Source organism: Homo sapiens, chromosome 3, assembly GCF_000001405.40.
Source record: "Homo sapiens chromosome 3, GRCh38.p14 Primary Assembly".
Classification (NCBI taxonomy): domain Eukaryota; kingdom Metazoa; phylum Chordata; class Mammalia; order Primates; family Hominidae; genus Homo; species Homo sapiens.
In genome coordinates, this window is record NC_000003.12 from 119,556,203 (window position 1) to 119,575,345 (window position 19,143).

General features: G+C 43.4%; 1 protein-coding gene and 1 long non-coding RNA gene across 2 annotated transcripts in view, besides 7 other annotated features; one reads left to right on the plus strand and one right to left on the minus strand.

Moving 5' to 3' along the window:
- CD80 (CD80 molecule) overlaps nt 1-3,412 on the minus strand; it is a 35,322-nt gene extending 31,910 nt beyond the window's left edge. The window contains exons 1-2 of the mRNA NM_005191.4: nt 3,238-3,412; nt 1,427-1,726 (exon numbers count right to left, since the gene is read on the minus strand). Of these exons, the coding sequence (NP_005182.1) occupies nt 1,427-1,526 (100 nt within the window). The 5' untranslated portion in view covers nt 1,527-1,726; nt 3,238-3,412. The remainder of the gene's footprint in view (nt 1-1,426; nt 1,727-3,237) is intronic.
- Nucleotides 1,720-2,014: a silencer, noted in NCBI's record as "tiled region #12076; HepG2 Repressive non-DNase unmatched - State 22:ReprW". NCBI's record gives its function as "weakly represses a minimal TATA promoter and a strong SV40 promoter by Sharpr-MPRA in HepG2 cells {active_cell/tissue: HepG2}" and the evidence as "EXISTENCE:reporter gene assay evidence [ECO:0000049][PMID:27701403]".
- Nucleotides 1,720-2,014: an enhancer, noted in NCBI's record as "tiled region #12076; K562 Activating DNase matched - State 5:Enh". NCBI's record gives its function as "activates a minimal TATA promoter and a strong SV40 promoter by Sharpr-MPRA in K562 cells {active_cell/tissue: K562}" and the evidence as "EXISTENCE:reporter gene assay evidence [ECO:0000049][PMID:27701403]".
- Nucleotides 2,376-2,535: an enhancer, noted in NCBI's record as "active region_20309". NCBI's record gives its function as "activates an Ori minimal core promoter by ATAC-STARR-seq in GM12878 lymphoblastoid cells {active_cell/tissue: GM12878}" and the evidence as "EXISTENCE:reporter gene assay evidence [ECO:0000049][PMID:35858748]".
- Nucleotides 2,806-2,865: an enhancer, noted in NCBI's record as "active region_20310". NCBI's record gives its function as "activates an Ori minimal core promoter by ATAC-STARR-seq in GM12878 lymphoblastoid cells {active_cell/tissue: GM12878}" and the evidence as "EXISTENCE:reporter gene assay evidence [ECO:0000049][PMID:35858748]".
- Nucleotides 3,636-3,685: an enhancer, noted in NCBI's record as "active region_20311". NCBI's record gives its function as "activates an Ori minimal core promoter by ATAC-STARR-seq in GM12878 lymphoblastoid cells {active_cell/tissue: GM12878}" and the evidence as "EXISTENCE:reporter gene assay evidence [ECO:0000049][PMID:35858748]".
- On the plus strand, nt 4,228-6,124 carry LOC107986118 (uncharacterized). Its single transcript, XR_001740861.2, has 2 exons — nt 4,228-4,543; nt 6,034-6,124. It is a non-coding gene; the product is annotated as an uncharacterized LOC107986118 (long non-coding RNA).
- Nucleotides 6,167-6,756: an enhancer, noted in NCBI's record as "active region_20312". NCBI's record gives its function as "activates an Ori minimal core promoter by ATAC-STARR-seq in GM12878 lymphoblastoid cells {active_cell/tissue: GM12878}" and the evidence as "EXISTENCE:reporter gene assay evidence [ECO:0000049][PMID:35858748]".
- Nucleotides 12,200-12,701: an enhancer, noted in NCBI's record as "H3K4me1 hESC enhancer chr3:119287249-119287750 (GRCh37/hg19 assembly coordinates)". NCBI's record gives its function as "activates a minimal SCP1, AML or CMV promoter by ChIP-STARR-seq in naive H9 embryonic stem cells {active_cell/tissue: H9 hESC(naive)}" and the evidence as "EXISTENCE:reporter gene assay evidence [ECO:0000049][PMID:30033119]".

Sequence of the window (19,143 nt, forward strand, 5' to 3'; positions counted from 1 at the left end):
CAAGGTGCTTTCCTAAACATCTTTCTTTAGCTCAAAGATCTCTTTCCACTTACCTCTGACCCTAATTTTCCTTGTACAATTTCTAAAGTCTGGGTTTTAATTTTTATTTTATGTCCTCTTTTACTTTTTTTATTGTTCTCCCTCTTTCTGTCTCTCCCCCTCCCTGCCCCCCTTATTTCTGGGAAGCCTGTACAAATTTCCTTCTATATATTTTAAACTCCTCTGTACTCCCCAGAAGACTAGTTTGGGAATGCTTCCCCAGCTCCCCAGAAGGAAATTGTAACTGTTGGAAATGTAATGTAACTGTCAAATATATAAAAAACCTGAGGTGTAAATTGTGAAATGTAGGCCATGTTTCTCTTGGTTCTGAAACAATGTAAAATAGCTCTGGACAGAAAATTTTAAATGACCACCATCGCAGTCAAGTAATCTGTGGGCCCCCAACTCCTCTTCTCTTCCCTCTACCTCTCTCTCACACCTCTGATATTCTAGGCAGTACTTTATGTGAGAAGTTTTTAAGACAAGGACCCTTAATAGTCGGGTCTTTGCAGACTGGCAAATCATGCTGGAGCCCAAACTTCTTTGTTTTTGGGAAACTGGGAAGTATGCTGCTCACTAGAAAACAGATCTTTTGTTTTCTGACTTAAAAAAAAAAATCAGAACCATCCTGCCAGCAGGGACAAGCCTCACCCTTCTTGACAGTCCCAAAAGTTCAGCACTCTTAAGATCACCTGAGCAGGAACAAAAGCCTCTAGAAGTCAAATTATTACTTTCAGGACATATATGTAATACCTATGTGGCAGATTAAAAATAACTAAAAACATAATTTTGTGTTAAATCTGATACCACTTAAAGTCAGATGCCAATGTTGAAAAAAGATCTCAGCATCCAAAGCAGAACAAATAAGATTAATGTATTAAGAGGAACTTAAGAAGGTTAAGAAGATGAATGTCATTAAGAGGAATTGTCCTCAACTACTCTCCCGCCTTCAGATTGGAAAGAAGATCACCATTGTTCAATTTTAGAAGCAGGACACTTTCGCTGAGCTGTATCATGAAAACATAGTTTGGGACTAGACTCCGAGGCCAGTATCGGCACATCACAAAATGTAAATGAGCATCTAATATTCATGGAAGAGACCATTATGAATCGGCTGTATGGTTTTGTTAAAATAACACTGTCCCTTCCACGCTTCCTTGAAGGCCTGGGTTCTTGAGTTAACTTGGTTGCTAACTTGCTGTGTGATGATAGGCAGGTCCTTTAACCTCTTTGGACCACAGTCTTCTAATCTTTAAAATCTTCTGAAAACACCCTGAAGGTTCCTTCCAGCTTATAGGATAATAGAAGGGAGCAGCTCAGAGAACCCCATGTCCTTTCTCTTAACCCTGTAGCAGTTGACTCAGTTAAGTTCCTGAAAGTTGCTTACCTGAACAGAAGTGAGAAAGACCAGCCAGCACCAAGAGCTGAAAGAAATTGAGGTATGGACACTTGGATGGTGATGTTCCCTGCCTCCGTGTGTGGCCCATGGCTTCAGATGCTTAGGGTCAAAAGTGAAAGCCAACAATTTGGACCCAAGTAAGACCAGGGCACTTCCCAGGTGCAAAACAGGCAGGGCTGATGACAATCCAATTGCTCACGTAGAAGACCCTCCAGTGATGTTTACAAAACACACAGAGATTGGAGGGTGTTCCTGGGTCTCCAAAGGTTGTGGATTTAGTTTCACAGCCTGAAAAAGGAACAAATAAAAGTCATTCAGGAAGGAAGGTGTGCCTACTTTGAGTTGCAAAACTCTCGAGTTGCCTGCTAAAATTAATTGGAGAGCTTAACCTAAGCAACCTCTAAAGCAGGGCGTGACCCTGAGGAAAAGCGAATGGAAATTCTGTGAGGGGACCAGTTCCAAGAACCAACCACAGCCCTTCCATGAAAAGGCTTTCTACTTAATAGGTGGGGTGAAGATTTGGTTAGAAACAGGAGAGCTCTAAGGACCCTCCATATCTGTTAGCCAACCTGCAAAAGTTCAAATCCTCTTCTGAACATACCAAGAAACATAGAGCAGACAGTAAGGGTGTATTTTGTCCAAGGCAGGACCTAAGTTATGAAACAACTTCTTTCTTGACATATTAACATAAGAAAACAAGTATCTCAATTCTTTAAACCCTCTACTCAAATAATATATCATAAAGGGGTATGAGATCTCAATAACCAGAAAAGTCTATCCATAAAAAGGGAGGGAAAAAAAGACACTGCAGACGTTACTTATCAAAATTATGTACTCCAGGGCCAGGCGTGGTGGCTCACGCCTGTAATCCCAGCACTTTGGGAGGCTGAGGTGGGCGGATTACTTGAGGCCAGGAGTTCCAGACCAGCCTGGCCAACATGGCAAAACCCCATTTCTACCAAAAATACAAAAATTAGCCAGGTGTGGTGGTGGGTGCCTGTAATCCCAGCCACTTGGGAGGCTGAGGCACGAGAATTGCTTGAATCCAGGAGGTGGAGGCTGCAGTGAGCCAAGATGATTGCAACACTGCACTCCAGCCTAGGCGACAGAGTGAGACTCCATCTCAAAAAAAAAAAAAAAAAAAATTATGTACTGTCATGTGAGGTGGCTAGGGATTAATTTTTCCAGTAAATATGTCAAAATTGAGAAATGAAAATAAACACTGTGCTCCACTGTCACCCCTTCAGGCTGCTACCAGGACACAGCCCCGTGCTGCTCAGAGAATGCTTGAGTGTCCTCTTTGGAGACCACCCTAGAGCTAGAGTTCCAGCCACGCCATATTGTTTTATTAGCCATCATCCATTTTAGACAGGATTAGTTAAAAGAGACTTATTCACCAGAATTTGTTTTTCTTAAGATAGAATCTTGCTCTGTCACACAGGCTAGAGTGCAGTGGCGTGACCATAGCTCACCACAGTCTCAACCTCCCGAGCTCAAGCGATTTTCCCACTTTCACTAGAATTTTACTGGCTTGAGAAATTCAAATACGGCCCACAAAAACAATATTTGCTAGGATCTAGGATATTTTAAAATAATGGGCCACAATTCTCACTATGATGCTCCAAATATGTCGGGAAGCCACAGCCTCCTGTGGGAATGAGACCCTAAGGGTTCCTTTGAGGGCAAGCCTGGATCCAGGAGGTGGTAGCAGAGGTATTGTTTGTTTAAAAAGCAGTGAGGTTGCTGGTAACTAGTTCTACCAAGCTATCCCATAGTAAGATAATAGTAAATGTACTTACTTGCTGAAGAAAAATTCCACTTTTTCTTTAAATCCTTTGATTTCAGGGTAAGACTCCACTTCTGAGATGTTCTCTTCTTACAGTCTATAAAGCAATGACAAATCACTTTTTCTTTGGGTAATCTTCAGAGAGGCGACATTTCCCCTTCTAACTTCTGTTACTTTACAGAGGGTTTGAGTTCACTCAGTACTTGTCAGTGCCAGGAGTTGGACAGGGTGTTTGAAGAAGCGCCCTCTGCTGCCGTCTTCTTCTAGTTGCTTTTGTAGAGGCTGTGGCTGGGGCAAATCACACAGCAGCCTCCCTCACCACCGTGCATGGACTAACAAACATGAAACACCACGAGCACCAGGCGGCCTAGGGGAGGAGAAGAATGGTGCCCGAGAAGAGTGAGGGGCATCTGGCTAGCCTTGCTGTGTGATGGGAGGCCAGCTTCATGGGCTGGCTGTTTCTGTGCTGGTCTCAAGTTTTGTTTTAGCACCCAGAGTTACTCCTGAGTCCCTGCAGGAATAAGCTGTCAACCTCATATGTAGGGGACACTTTTGGGAGAGTGCTCAGCTCACAGGACCACCCAACTCTACTCCCACCTCTGAATCCCACCATCTTCAGAGAGTGGGCTCCTGCCAGCCACGCTGGACAGTGAATTCTGGTCACCCTAGCCACAGTTGAGTGCGCCTCTGGTGGGATGAGGAAGACTTTAGTCATGCCCATCACTCCCATTTCCAACTAGGTTGCCACCCACCCCTGTGTGTCCCTTTGTAGGATTCTGGAGCCCCTGTGAGTGAGCAGCTGACCCATGCTGGACCAGTGTACTTGTTTGCACAGGTGGAACCTGACAGCACCTTGCATGGGTTGCAGTGAGCCGAGATCACAACACTACAATCCAGCTTGGGTAACAGAGCAAGACTCCATCTCAAAAAAAAAAAAAAAAAAAAGACGCCATCCTTCCCACACCAGCCAGAAAGAGAGCAAACCGTGTGGGTGAGAAATACTGACTACAGCGGCGGCTTCCTTCATCTCAGCAACAAGTTTGTGGCAGAGCTTAGTGGATACCACCCTATTCACCTGAGATTTGGAATACTGAAGCTTTGGAAATCATGAAGGCAGAACTTGCTATGAAAGGACTCCACTGCACTGTCTCCTTCTGTATTGGCAGAAGGGGCCTAGTGAGCACCCTTCTTCACCTGTGTCTTGTTCTGGTCTCAGATGCATATTTTGAATAGTTGCAAGGAATATGGATGTGACAATTCCTGCCTTACCTCTAGTAGATCAACATTACATTTTCAAGTAAAGGGAACATAGATTGGAGGTAAGTTCATGTTTTCTATTTTCTTGAACATTTATTCAGATCAAAGAAATGTTTTCACTGATTTTAGCCACTTCTACTTGATACATTATTACAATGCACTGGAAGTGATTTTTTTTCCAGGTATTTAAAGTAATAGAAAGTTATAGATGTCAACTTAAAAGAGCAAAGAAATACAGAGTTTTAGAAATTTATTTTCTTTTTTTTTTTTTAGATGAAGTCTTTCTCTGCCGCCCAGGCTGGAGTGCAGTGGTGCAATCTTGGCTCACTGCAACCTCCGCCTCCTGGGTTCAAGCAATTCTTCTGCCTCAGCCTCCTGAGTAGCTGGGACTACAGGCGTGTGCCACCATGCCAGGCTAATTTTTAAATTTTTAGTAGAGATGGGGTTTCACCATATTGGCCAGGCTGGTCTCAAACTCCTGACCTTGTGATCCACCCTCCTCGGCCTCCCAAAGTGCTGGGATTACAGGCATGAGCCACTGCACCCAGCCGAGTTTTAGAAATTTCATGAGGGACTACATGAATACAAATTTTGACGATCACAGACACCCTCAAATTTTAAGAATCCCAGTGAAATCCTAACCTGCCTTGGAGAAACACACATTAAACAACTTTGCCATTAGCGCTTTGATGTGACTTAATCAAAGAGGCTGGAAGAAAGGAACACCAGGAAGGTACTTTACAGAGTTTCCCCAATCCTGATTGTAAAATTCAGAAGGCTTCTCTTCCAAGATTATGTACTAATGGGATGTGTTTAATTCCTCTTCCTCCTACAATGTGTCTAGGAGCATGACCTGTGGACCACAGATTTCTAAGGTAAATTTCTGGACACTGGAGGTGAGATGGATGAAGACGGGCAAAGGAAGCCGAACCCGAATACCTATATTACTGGAAAACAAAACAAAACAAAACAAAACCAAGTAAAAGATTTAAAAGGAGGCTGGGCACAGTGGCTCATGCCTGTAATCCCAGCACTTTGAGAGGCTGAGGTGGGCGGATCACTTGAGGCCAGGAGTTCGAGGCCAGCTGGCCAACGTGATGAAACCCCAGCTCTCCAAAAAAAAAAAAAAAACCAAAAAACTGGGCATAGTGGTGCATACCTGTAATCCCAGCTACTGGGAAGGCTGAGACATGAGACTTGCTTGAACTTCAGAGGCGGAGGTTGCAGTGAGCTAAGATTGTGCCATTGCACTCCAGCCTGGGTGACAGAGCAAGATTCTGTTTCAAAAACAAAACAAAACAAAACAAAAAAACTTTAAATGAGTTTGTTCTGAGGAGCAGACCCAGGGTTGGAGAAGAATAAAGCAGGAATTACTGCTCCTCAGTGTAAATTCTTTAGTGCCACTTATTTTTTTGTAAATCCATCCTTGGCTTTACTGTAATAAAAGTAAAAGAAATTCTTTTAAAAATAATTCACATAAAAATTCTTTTAAAAATTTTTATGTGAAAAATTGAAAGGATAAATTTATGAAAGTATATTTTTATAATTCTAGGGTGAGCAAGACACAAAACTTGGAAGCCACGAAAAAAGAAAAGATACACAGATTTGAATTCATAAAAATTAAAAATATTTGTACAATGAAAGACATTATAAATGAAATGAAAACACAATCACAGACTGTAGAGGACCCAGCAGGAAGAGATGACGAGAGGGAGATGCAGCTTTGTCACTCAGAGGTTGGTGCAGAGGCTGTTGCGACACCGTAGGGGAAGCCTGGCCCTTTGCTTTACCCCTGAACAGGATGATCTCTGTGGAAATGAAGGTTCCATCTTTCTGCTCTTGACCTTGGAGCCACTTCACCTCCTCATGCTGATAAAGCTGGCCTGAGCTCAACCTTCCTACCCTTCCGTTCAGCATCCACAGGGAGGGCTGGGCTGGCTCCTGGCAGTGGCCTCAGTGCTGTCATTTGCAGGTTGCCTACTCAGGGCCCACGGTGCTAGCCTGACTGCTGGGAAAACCCCTTTCCCACAGTGGGCTCACTGTTGCCAAGTAAACAAAACCTGTTGCACTGACAAAAATTTTCAGGGGAGTTTTTCATGTTCTAAGATGACCCTCCCGTGAGGTTTAGAAGTTCATTTTTAGATATGACTTCATCTGGGCATGTCTATAAGGCCTGCACCCATCATAGGGCAGCTGATCTAGGCTTTAAGGCTATGGTGCTCCCCAGGAGTGCCACAGCCTGCTAAAGTTGGCAGCAAACTCATCAAAGTGGGAGAGTTCACCTCTTCCTCTTAAAATGCTGTCACATTCTTTCTGGTTCTTTGAGATGGAAATCACCAAAATGCTTAAAATGAAAACAAGTGACTTTCAGAGCTAGCCCTCGTTCAGAGTGAGGGCCGTCTTCTTACTAACCCACCACACACTCTTCCTCCTATACTTGGCATCTTACTCTTCCTGCCTGTGACTCTTTTTTTTTAATTAATTTTTTTATTATCAATTTTTGTTTATTATTCTACTTTAAGTTCTAGGGTACATGTGCACAATGTGCAGGTTTGTTACATATGTATACACGCTCCATGTTAGTGTGTTGCACCCATTAACTCGTCATTTACATTAGGTATATCTCCTAATGCTATCCCTCCCCCCTCCCCCCAGCCCATGACAGGCCCCCGTGTGTGATGCTCCCCTTCCTGTGTCCAAGTGTTCTCATTGTTCAATTCCCACCTATGAGTGAGAACATGTGGTGTTTGGTTTTTTGTCCTTGTGATAGTTTGCTGAGAATGATGGTTTCCAGCTTCATCCATGTCCCTACAAAGGACATGAACTCATCCTTTTTTCTGGCTGCATAGTATTCCATGGTGTATATGTACCACATTTTCTTAATCCAGTCTATCATTGATGGACATTTGGGTTGGTTCCAAGTCTTTGCTATTGTGAATAGTGCCACAATAAACATACGTGTGCATGTGTCTTTAGAGCAGCATGATTTATAACCCTTTGGGTATATACCCAGTAATGGGATGGCTGGGTCAAATGGTATTTCTAGTTCTAGATCCTTGAGGAATCGCCACACTGTCTTCCACAATGGTTGAACTAGTTTACAGTCCTGCCAACGTGTAAAAGTGTTCCTATTTCTCCACATCGTCTTCAGCACCTGTTGTTTCCTGACTTTTTAATGATCGCCATTCTAACTGGTGTGAGATGGTGTCTTATTGTGGTTTTGATTTGCATTTCTCTGATGGCCAGTGATGATGAGCATTTTTTCATGTGTCTGTTGGCTGCATAAAAGTCTTTTTTGAGAAGTGTCTGTTCATATCCTTTGCCCACTTTTTGATGGGGTTGTTTTTTCTTGTAAATGTGTTTGAGTTCATTGTAGATTCTGGATATTAGCCCTTTGTCAGATGAGTAGATTGCAAAAATTTTCTCCCATTCTGTAGGTTGCCTGTTCACTCTGATGGTAGTTTGTTTTGCTGTGCAGAAACTCTTTAGTTTAATTAGATCCCATTTGTCAATTTTGGCTTTTGCTGCCATTGCTTTTGGTGTTTTAGACATGAAGTCCTTGCCCATGCCTATGTCCTGAATGGTATTGCCTAGGTTTTCTTCTAGGGTTTTTATGGTTTTAGGTCTAACACTTAAGTCTTTAATCCATCTTGAATTAATTTTTGTATAAGGTGTAACGAAGGGATCCAGTTTCAGCTTTCTACATGTGGCTGGCCAGTTTTCCCAGCACCATTTATTAAACAGGGAATCCTTTCCCTATTTCTTGTTTTTGTCAGGTTTGTCAAAGATCAGATATTGTAGATGTATGGTATTATTTCTGAGGGTTCTGTTCTGTTCCATTGGTCTAATCTCTGTTTTGGTACCAGTACCATGCTGTTTTGGTTATTGTAGCCTTGTAGTATAGTTTGAAGTCAGGTAGCGTGATGTCTCCCGCTTTTTTCTTTTGGCTTAGGATTGTCTTGGCAATGCAGGCCCTTCTTTGTTCCATATGAACTTTAAAGTAGTTTTTTCCAATTCTGTGAAGAAAGTCATTGGTAGCTTGATGGGGATGGCATTGAATCTATAAATTACCTTGGGCAGTATGGCCATTTTCACGATATTGATTATTCCTATCCATGAGCATAGAATGTTCTTCCATTTGTTTGTGTCCTCTTTTATTTCATTGAGCAGTGGTTTGTAGTTCTCCTTGAAGAGGTCCTTCACATCCCTTGTAAGTTGGATTCATAGGTATTTTATTCTCTTTGAAGCAATTGTGAATGGGAATTCACTCATGATTTGGCTCTCTGTTTGTCTGTTATTGGTGTATAAGAATGCTTGTGATTTTTGCACATTGATTTTGTATCCTGAGACTTTGCTGAAGTTGCTTATCAGCTTAAGGAGATTTTGGGCTGAGACAATGGGGTTTTCTAAATATACAATCACGTCATCTGCAAACAGGGACACTTTGACTTCCTCTTTTCCTAATTGAATACCCTTTATTTCTTTCCCCTGCCTGATTGCCCTGGCCAGAACTTCCAACACTATGTTGAATAGGAGTGGTGAGAGAGGGCATCCCTGTCTTGTGTCAGTTTTCAAAGGGAATGCTTCCAGTTTTTGCCCATCAGTATGATATTGGCTGTGGGTTTGTCATAAATAGCTCTTATTATTTTGAGATACGTCCCATCAATACCTAATTTATTGAGAGTTTTTAGCATGAAGGGTTGTTGAATTTTGTCAAAGGCCTTTTCTGCATCTATTGAGACAAACCTGTGGTTTTTGTCTTTGGTTCTGTTTATATGCTGGATTACGTTTATTGATTTGCGTATGTTGAACCAGCCTTGCATCCCAGGGATGAAGCCCACTTGATCATGGTGGATAAGCTTTTTGATGTGCTGCTGGATTCAGTTTGCCAGTATTTTATTGAGGATTTTTGCATCAATGTTCATCAAGGATATTGGTCTAAAATTCTCTTTTTTTGTTGTGTCTCTGCCAGGCTTTGGTATCAGGATGATGCTGGCCTCAAAAAATGAGTTAGGGAGGATTCCCTCTTTTTCTACTGATTGGAATAGTTTCAGAAGGAATGGTACCAGCTCCTTCTTGTACCTCTGGTAGAATTCGGCTGTGAATCCATCTGGTCCTGGATTTTTTTTTGGTTGGTAGGCTATTAATTATTGCCTAAATTTCAGAGCCTGTTATTTAAGGATTTAGGGATTTAACTTCTTCCTGGTTTAGTCTTGGGAGGGTGTATGTGTCCAGGAATTTATCCATTTCTTCTAGATTTTCTAGTTTACTTGCATAGAGGTGTTTATAGTATTCTCTGATGGTAGTTTGTATTTCTGTGGGATCGGTGGTGATATCCCCTTTATCATTTGATATTGTGTCTATATGATTCTTCTCTCTTTTCTTCTTTATTAGTCTTGCTAGTGGTCTATCAATTTTGTTGATCTTTTCAAAAAACCAGCTCCTGGATTCATTGATTTTTTGAGGGTTTTTGTGTCTCTATCTCCTTCAGTTCTTCTCTGATCTTAGTTATTTCTTGCCTTCTGCTAGCTTTTGAATGTGTTTGCTCTTGCTTCTCTAGTTCTTTTAATGGTGATGTTAGGGTGTCAATTTTAGATCTTTCCTACTTTCTCTTGTGGGCATTTAGTGCTATAAATTTCCCTCTACACACTGCTTTAAATGTTTCCCAGAGATTCTGGTATGTTGTGTCTTTGTTCTCATTGGTTTCAAAGAATATCTTTATTTCTGCCTTCATTTTGTTATGTACCCAGTAGTCACTCAGGAGCAGGTGTTTCAGTTTCCATGTAGTTGAGTGGTTTTGAGTGAGTTTCTTAATCCTGAGTTCTAGTTTGATTGCACTGTGGTCTGAGAGACAGTTCGTTATAATTTCTGTTCTTTTACATTTGCTGAGGAGTGCTTTACTTCCAACTATGTGGTTAATTTTGGAATAAGTGCTATGTGGTGCTAAGAAGAATGTATATTCTGTTGATTTGGGGTGGAGAGTTCTGTAGATGTCTATTAGGTCTGCTTGGTGCAGAGCTGAGTTCAATTCCTGGATATCCTTGTTAACTTTCTGTCTCGTTGATCTGTCTAATGTTGACAGTGGGGTGTTACAGTCTCCCATTATTATTGTGGGGGAGTCTAAGTCTCTTTGTAGGTCTCTAAGGACTTGCTTTATGAATCTGGGTGCTCCTGTATTGGGTGCATATATATTTAGGATAGTTAGCTCTTCTTGTTGAATTGAGCCCTTTACCATTATGTAATGACCTTCTTTGTCTCTTTTGATCTTTGTTGGTTTAAAGTCTTTTTTATCAGAGACTAGGATTGCAACCCCTGCCTTTTTTTGTTTTCCATTTGCTTGGTAGATCTTCCTCCATCCCTTTATTTTGAGCTTATGTGTGTCTCTGCATGTGAGATGGGTCTCCTGAATACAGCACACTGATGGGTCTTGACTCTATCCAATTTGCCCGTCTGTGTCTTTTAATTGGAGCATTTAGCCCATTTACATTTAAGGTTAATATTTTTGTGTGTGAATTTGATCCTGTCATTACGATGTTAGCTGGTTATTTTGCTCGTCAGTTGATGCAGTTTCTTCCTACCATCAATGGTCTTTACAATTTGGCATGTTTTTGCAGTGGCTGGTACTGGTTTTTCCTTTCCATGTTTAGTGCTTCCTTCAGGAGCTCTTTTAGGGCAGGCCTGGTGGTGACAAAATCTCTCAGCATTTGCTTGTCTGTAACGGATTTTATTTGTCCTTCACTTATGAAGCTTAGTTTGGCTGGATATGAAATTCTGGGTTGAAAATTCTTTTCTTTAAGAATGTTGAATGTTGGCCCCCCACTCTCTTCTGGCTTATAGAGTTTCTGCTGAGAGATCCGCTATTAGTCTGGTGGGCTTCCCTTTGTGGAAAACCCGACCTTTCTCTCTGGCTGCCCTTAACAGTTTTTCCTTCATTTCAACTTTGGTGAATCTGACAATTATGTGTCTTGGAGTTGCTCATCTCGAGGAGTAACTTCATAGTGTTCTCTGTATTTCTTGAATTTGAATGTTGGCCTGTCTTGCTAGGTTGGGGAAGTTCTCCTGGATAATATCCTGTAGAGTGTTTTCCAACTTGGTTCCATTCTCCCCATCACTTTCAGGTACACCAATCAGACGTAGATTTGGTCTTTTCACATAGTCCCATATTTCTTGGAGGCTTTGTTCATTTCTTTTTACTCTTTTTTCTCTAAACTTCTCTTCTTGCTTCATTTCATTCATTTCATCTTCCATCACTGACACTCTTTCTTCCAGTTGATCTAATCGGCTACTGAAGCTTGTGCATTCGTCATGTAGTTCTCGTACCACGGTTTTCAGCTCCAACAGGTCATTTAAGGACTTCTCTACACTGGTTATTCTAGTTAGCCATTTGTCTAATCTTTTTTCAAGGTTTTTAGCTTCTTTGAGATGGGTTCAAACTTCTTCCTTTAGCTCGGAGAAGTTTGATCATCTGAAGACTTTTTCTCTCAACTGATCAAAGTCATTCTCCATCCAGCTTTGTTCTGTTGCTGGTAAGGAGCTGCATACCTTTGGAGGGGGAGAGGCGCTCTGATTTCTAGAATTTTCAGCTTTTCTGCTCTGTTTTTTCCCCATCTTTGTGGTTTTATCTACCTTTGGTCTTTGATGATGGTGACCTTTGATGATGGTGGGGTTTTGGTGTGGATGTCCTTTCTGTTTGTTAGTTTTCCTTCTAACAGTCAGGACCCTCAGCTGCAGGTCTGTTGGAGTTTGCTGGAGGTCCACTCTAGACCCTGTTTGCCTGGGTATCAGCAGCGGAGGGTGCAGAACAGCGAATATTGCTGAACAGCAAATGATGCTGCCTGATCGTTCCTCTGGAAGTTTTGTCTCAGAGGGGTACCCAGCTGTGTGAGGTGTCAGTCTGTCCCTACTGGAGGGTGCCTCCCAGTTAGGCTACTCGGGGGTCAGGGACCCACTTGAGGAGGCAGTCTGTCCATTCTCAGATCTCAAACTCCACGCTGGGAGAACCACTACTCTCTTCAAGGCTGCCAGACAGGGACATTTAAGTCTGCAGAGGTTTCTGCTGCCTTTTGTTCAGCTATGCCCTACCCCCAGAGGTGGAGTCTACAGAGGCAGGCAGGCCTCCTTGAGCTGTGGTGGGCTCCACCCAGTTCGAGCTTCCCGGCCGCTTTGTTTACCTACTCAAGCCTCAGCAATGGCGGGTACCCCTACCCCAGCCTCGCTGCTGCCTTGCAGTTCGATCTCAGACTGCTGTGTTAGCAATGAGTAAGGCTCCGTGGGCGTGGGACCCTCCGAGCCAAGCTCGGCATATAATCTCCTGGTGTGGCATTTGCTAAGACCATTGGAAAAGTGCAGTATTAGGCTGGGAGTGACCCGATTTTCCAGGTGCCGTCCGTCACCACTTCCCTTGGCTAGGAAAGGGAATTCCCTGACCCCTTGCCCTTCTCGGGTGAGGCGATGCCTCACCCTGCTTCGGCTCTCGCTCAGTGGGCTACACCCATTGTCCTGCCCCCACTGTCCGACAAACCCCAGTGAGATGAACCCAGTACCTCAGTTGGAAATGCAGAAATCACCTGTCTTCTGTGTCGCTCACGCTGGGAGCTGTAGACTGGAGCTGTTCCTATTCTGCCACCTTGCCTCATAATCCTTGCCTGTGACTCTTGACACACTGTCCCCCAACTTCCTTGGCTGCCTTTCCCCATTCTCTCTGCCCATCTAAACATCTTTCTTCCTCAAAGGACCAGGCCAAATGCCATTTCCCCAAGAAGCTTTCCTGACTCTTCTAAATCTCCATCTGCTCTTTCCCTTCTCTGAGATCCTATGTCTGTGCCACTCATTTGGCATCATTCCAATCCCTCCCCACCCCCCCAAATTTATTGAGTGCCTACTATGTGCCTGGAAGGGTTCAAACATTGGGGAAGCAAAATGGCTTGACTAGGAGAGATAAGGACAACATGGACCGATCCTAAGAAAAAGAAACAGTAGCAGAAAAAGAGCAGGGCAGCTAGCTGAATTTAAGTCTGCAGTGTGGCGAAAATGCCAACAAAATATTGCGAGACATGAGTGGCAATATGACATACCATGGCCAGAAATTATCTTTTTGGATTCTTTCTACATGAACCCAGATCCTTATTGGAATATTACGTCCAATTTCAAACTAAATGTGGAGAGGATCCGGCAGAAAGTAACAAACAATAACAAAAAGGATGCTAAACCAGGCAGCTCAGAGAACAGAGGAATGGGGAGCCAAGATGTTTTAGATGGGCCAAATGATTTTGAGGCCTTTGGTAATGATCCTCTGTGGCTTTGAGGTGTTTCTGTTTCTTTGTTTTGAGCTAGTCATGGCCATAAATGCCTTCTACATCTGTAGGCGACCAAACTGGAGAAAATAATCTACATGTAAGCAGGATAAATTTTGATTGTGTTTAAGGAAGCATTTTTTTTGTGTTGAAGCTGGAAAAGGTGACTTTCAAAGAAGGTTGCAAATTTTTATTGCCTGATGCTTTAAGAAGAGAAGAGACAAATCCTGTTTGGGGAAAACAGAGATTTCTCTGCCTGAGAGTAAGGGACTATGGTGGAATCCCAGGCAGTCCACGATTCTAGGACCTGAGGCGTTAAATGTCACTGCCACTGGCTGCCACTCCCCTGCCCTGCCACACTGTCCACCAGAACCACTAACGAAGTTACAAAAGTCACCCTTTTCAGTTTCTATTTCATTTTCCCTGTCCCCTGAGAAACAGGAACCAAGGACTAGGCAGTAGGAGAAGCCAGACATGATCTATGCTTTCAAAGTGGGTCACCATGGCGTGAATGAATTAGAGCTGAAGGGTCATGGAAACAGCCTGTTCCTCCTCCCTCTCTCCTCCCCAGCTCTGTCCCCCACTTCTTCCTTTTTTTGTATTATTCTGAAAAGTGAATCAAACAGTTGCCATTTTTTTTATATTACGTTGGTCCACAACGTCAAAGGTCATGGTTTCCAGATTTCGGAAAAGGAATTTGATTCTGTTCCTAAAATTAAAGAGAAATTGCAAGGCTTGGATGGAAAGGGGAAGTTCCCCTTCAATAACTCTTTCTAGAAGGGTCAACATTTAAAACTTAACGTGTGGCCGGGTGCAGTGGCTCACGCCTGTAATCCCAGCACTTTGGGAGGCCAAGGAGGGTGGATCACTTGAGGTCAGGAGTTTGAGACCAGCCTGGCCAACATGGCAAAACCCCATCTCTACTAAAAATTTAAAAATTAGCTGGGCATGGTGGTGGGTGCCTGTAATCCCAGCTACTCCGGAGGCTGAAGCATGAGAATCGCTTGAACCTGGGAGATGGAAGTTGCAGTGAGCTGAGATTGAACAATTGCACTCCAGCCTGGGCAACAGAGTGAGACTCTGACTCAAAAAAAAACAAACAAACAAACAAACAAAAAAAGTTAACCTTATGTAGATATTTACCTATTATTTGAATACGAGAAGGAATTTGACCACTTGAGGGCCTGATTTATACAAGTACCACATGATGAAGAACAGGATTTTATGGAGTGAAGATCCTTAACAGCACTCTCAGATTGAATCTCTCCTGAGCCTTGAACTGATTTCTCCAGTGGCCACTGGGGTTGCGTGACTCCTCCAATGGCCCCAGACACAACTAAGAAATGTGCCTAAACTGGCTGCCATTTGAAACCTTTTGGTGTCCTTTGTTTAGATGCCCCACCCTAAACTTCAGGAGTTCTCTCCAGAGAGTAATTTTAGGAATGAATGCCAGAGACCAAGGGATGAGGGACTGTTGCCTCATCAGAGGGGGAAGGAGCTTGCTGGAAAAACAAGAGGAACAAAATGTCCCCTGACTAGATTTTTCTTTACCTTTTGTCTCAAGGACTCTTCTAGAAATAGAAATAAGAGTAGATTCATGTACATTTGCCCAGGTTGACCCCAGTGGAGGAATTGTGGGGCAGAAAGAATGATAACATGAAAGAAAGATAATTTCAGTAAGGCCCCCCAAACTTTTGGTTTAGGGAGCAGTCACTTTTTGTTTCCTAGAAGCTGTATTTTCACCTACTGAGATTCTAGCAGGCAGTGAAGTCCCCTTAGGATGGGACCGTGTGCAAGAGCATTGCTGTTTCATTGTAAACCCTGGAAGCGGAACTTAGGACTCAGCTGGCCAGCTGAGCTTCTCTTCCTGTGGGAAATCCCAGCGAAACCAGGAGAAAGGGAGCAACAGAGGTCATCTGCCAGGAAATGTACCAAAGAAGATTTGAAAATTACTGGTGGATCTCCAGAGCAAAGGCTGGAAAGCCCTGACCTACAGGAGCGGGCTACTGCATTGTTGGGAGGAGCAGGATTCACATCCACATGGACTTCCCTCGGGTCTCTTTCTGCTCTGCAGAGAGGGGTGGAAGCTGCTCCTAGGGTTTTTTTTTTGTTTTTTGTTTTTTGTTTTAAGATGGAGTCTCGGTCTGTCGTCCAGGCTACAGTGTAGTGGCACGATCTTGGCTCACTGCAACCTCTGCCTCCCAGGTTCAAGCGATTCTCCTGCCTCAGCCTCCCGAGTAGCTGGGATTACAGGCATGCACCACCATGCCCGGCTAATTTTGTATTCTTAGTAGAGAGGAGGTTTCACCATGTTGGCCAGGCTGGTCTTGAACTCCTGACCTCATGATCCGCCTGCCTCGGCCTTCCAAAGTGCTGGGATTACAGGTGTGAGCCACCGCACCTGGCCACTCCTAGGTTTTAAAACACCGGTTTGTATCCACTTATCTCTTTTGCTCCTCTCCATATAGTCTCCCATCTCTACCTCTTGCTATATTTGATTCCTGCCTGCTTGTTAGAATTACGGTGCATATCTTAGATTTTTCTTTAAATACCACTTTTAGACTGTCATCAACAAGAGGCTTAAGGCTCTTTGGGAGTGGGATATAGAATATTTATTTATTTATTTAGAGACAGGTTCTCACTCTATCACCCAGGCTACTGTGCAGTTGTGTGACCCTAGCTTATTGTAACCTTGAACTCTCAGGCTCAAGCAATCCTCCTGCCCCAGCTTCCTCAGTAGCTAGGACTACAGGTGTGCACCACCACACCTGGATAATTTTATTTATTTATTTATTTTGTAGAGACAGGGTCTCACTTTATTGCACAGGCTGGTCTTGAACTCCTGGGCTCAAGTGATCCTCCCACCTCTGCCTCCCAACGTACTGGGTTTATAGGCGTGAGCTGCGCCCAGCAAATATTTTAAAAATTAGACTCAGGAGGTTCAAATCTTTCATAGGTGTTTAGTCTATCATGTCATTTCAATTTTTTTCTAAGTGACAGTAGAAGGAATGGAAGAAGTCCTGGCTGGGAGTTCAGAGGGCATGGGCTCCAGGCCCACTTCTCTCCATGTGTGAAACTGAGTTATATAAACTCTGAGTAACTGTCTTCACTGGCCTCAGCTTCCTCCCTAGAAAGTTATTGTCAGCTGGGCACGGTGCCTAATGCCTATAATCCCAGCACTTTGGGAGGCTGAGACAGGTGGATCACTTGAGGTCAGGAGTTCAAGACCAGCCTGGCCAACATGGTGAAACTGCCTCTCTACTAAAAATACAAAAATTAGCTGGGCGTGGTGGCGATCGCCTGTAATCCCAGCTACTTGGGAGGCTGAGGCAGGATAATTGCTTGAACCTGGGAAATAGAGGTTGCAGTGAGCTGGGATTGCACCACTGCCCTCAGGCCTGAGTGACAGAGCCAGACTCCGTCTCAAAAAAAAAAAAAAAAAGAAACTTATTGTCAACTGAAAATTCACAAGGTTTATAAATCTGGAAAAGAGAGCTTTATTTTTATAAAGGGTTGCAGACGGCAGGATGGCCATTCTCAGTCTGGGAAGTGTAGCCTTCCAGCCAGAAGCCAAAAAGAGGCACCTCCAGGGAAAGGCAAAGGGAACAGGAATGTATGCTGAGCAGAGCAGCCAAGTACACATATTTATTTATTTATTTATTGAGACAAGGTCTCACTCTGTCACCCAGGCTGGAGTGCAGTGGCACAATCTCAGCTCACTTCAACCTCCACCTCCCAAGTTCAAGCGATTCTCGTGCCTCAGCCTCCCAAGTAGGTAGGATTACAAAAATACATGTATTTAATAAACTATAGGAGGAGTCATGAATATTTATGAAAGGAGAAACATGTGCATGTGCAACTGAGCGTCATGCCCCTTCAAGAGTCCCTTTTACAAAAAATGGCAGCATTAGCATGATCTGAGGGTGGAGTTCTCGGCCCTCTGATGTTAAAAGGTGAAGCAGAGGACACAAAAACCCTCACTGCAGGTCCTCTGTAGGCTGGCCAGAACCAATCTGTGATTGGTGGTCTCTTATCAGGGCAGAATGATGGTCAGTTGTGTCAAAACTGCAAAAGGAAGGGACAGCAGTCACGTGGTTGGTTGAAATCAGCGGTGAAGTCTGAGCCTGTTTTCCTTGATGAGCTGATCTTCTGGATGCCGTCTCTGAACACCCTGACTGAGCTGATACCATTAACTCTCTCATAGTTGCCAACCATGTACCTTGAACATTCTCTGCTTCCATACTCCTCACGGCCTCGTGCCATTATACTGTACAGTGTCTTCTCTCCTTGTGTGATTTTTGCCCTACCTCTGTAGGTGCAAGAAGCGCCAAGCATGTGCTTGGCTGGCACATTTTGTTTATTTATTTATTTATTTTTATTATTTTTCAGTCAGAGTTTTGCTCTTGTTGCCCAAGCTGGAGGAGTGCAATGGTGCAATCTTGGCTCACTGCAACCTCCGCCTCCCAGGGTCAAGCAATTCTCCTGCCTCAGCCTCCCAAGTGGCTGGGATTACAGTCACCCGCCACCATGCCCAGCTAATTTTTGTATTTTTAGTAAAGAAGGGATTTCACCCTGTTGGCCAGGCTGGTCTTGAACTCCTGACCTCAAGTGATCCGCCCGCCTTGGCCTCCCAAAGTGCTGGGATTACAGGCGTGAACCACCGCGCCAGACTGGCTGGCACATTTTAGATACTGTATTAGTCAAGTTTCTTCTGAGAAACAGAACCAATAGGATGGACACACACACACATGCAGAGAAAGAGAGTTTACTTTAAGGGATTGGCTTATACAATTGTGGAGGCTGGCAGGTTCGACAGGGTAGGCCAGCAGGCTAAAGACCCAGGAAAGAGTTGCAGCTCGAGTCTAAAGGCAGTCTGGCAGAATTCTCTCTTCCTTGGGGGAGGCGAGTCTTTTTTCTATTAAGGCTTTCAACTGATTGGAATGAGGCTCATCCACATTAGGGAGAGTAATCTGCTTTACTCAAAGGCTACTGATTTAGATGTGAATCTCATCTTAAAAAATACCTGCACAGAAACATCTAGAACAATGTTTGACCAAATATCTGGGCACTGTGGCCTAGCTAGGCTGACAAAATTAGCCATCACAGATGCTCTCTAAATCTTCTTGAATTGAATTGACAACACAGGATATGTGAGCAGCTACTTTTGGTTACTTATCTTCAAACTCATCAAGTTGTATACCCGAAATATGTACAGCTTTTTGTATCTCAGTCATATCTCAATAACGTGATTTAAGAAAACATATAAACACTTTTTTGGTAATTTTAAAAATATGTTAGCAGCCGAAAAATGAGATCACTTGGGTGCTCTAGAAGAGCAGGGGCTGTCAGGGCCTAGCATATACTTACAC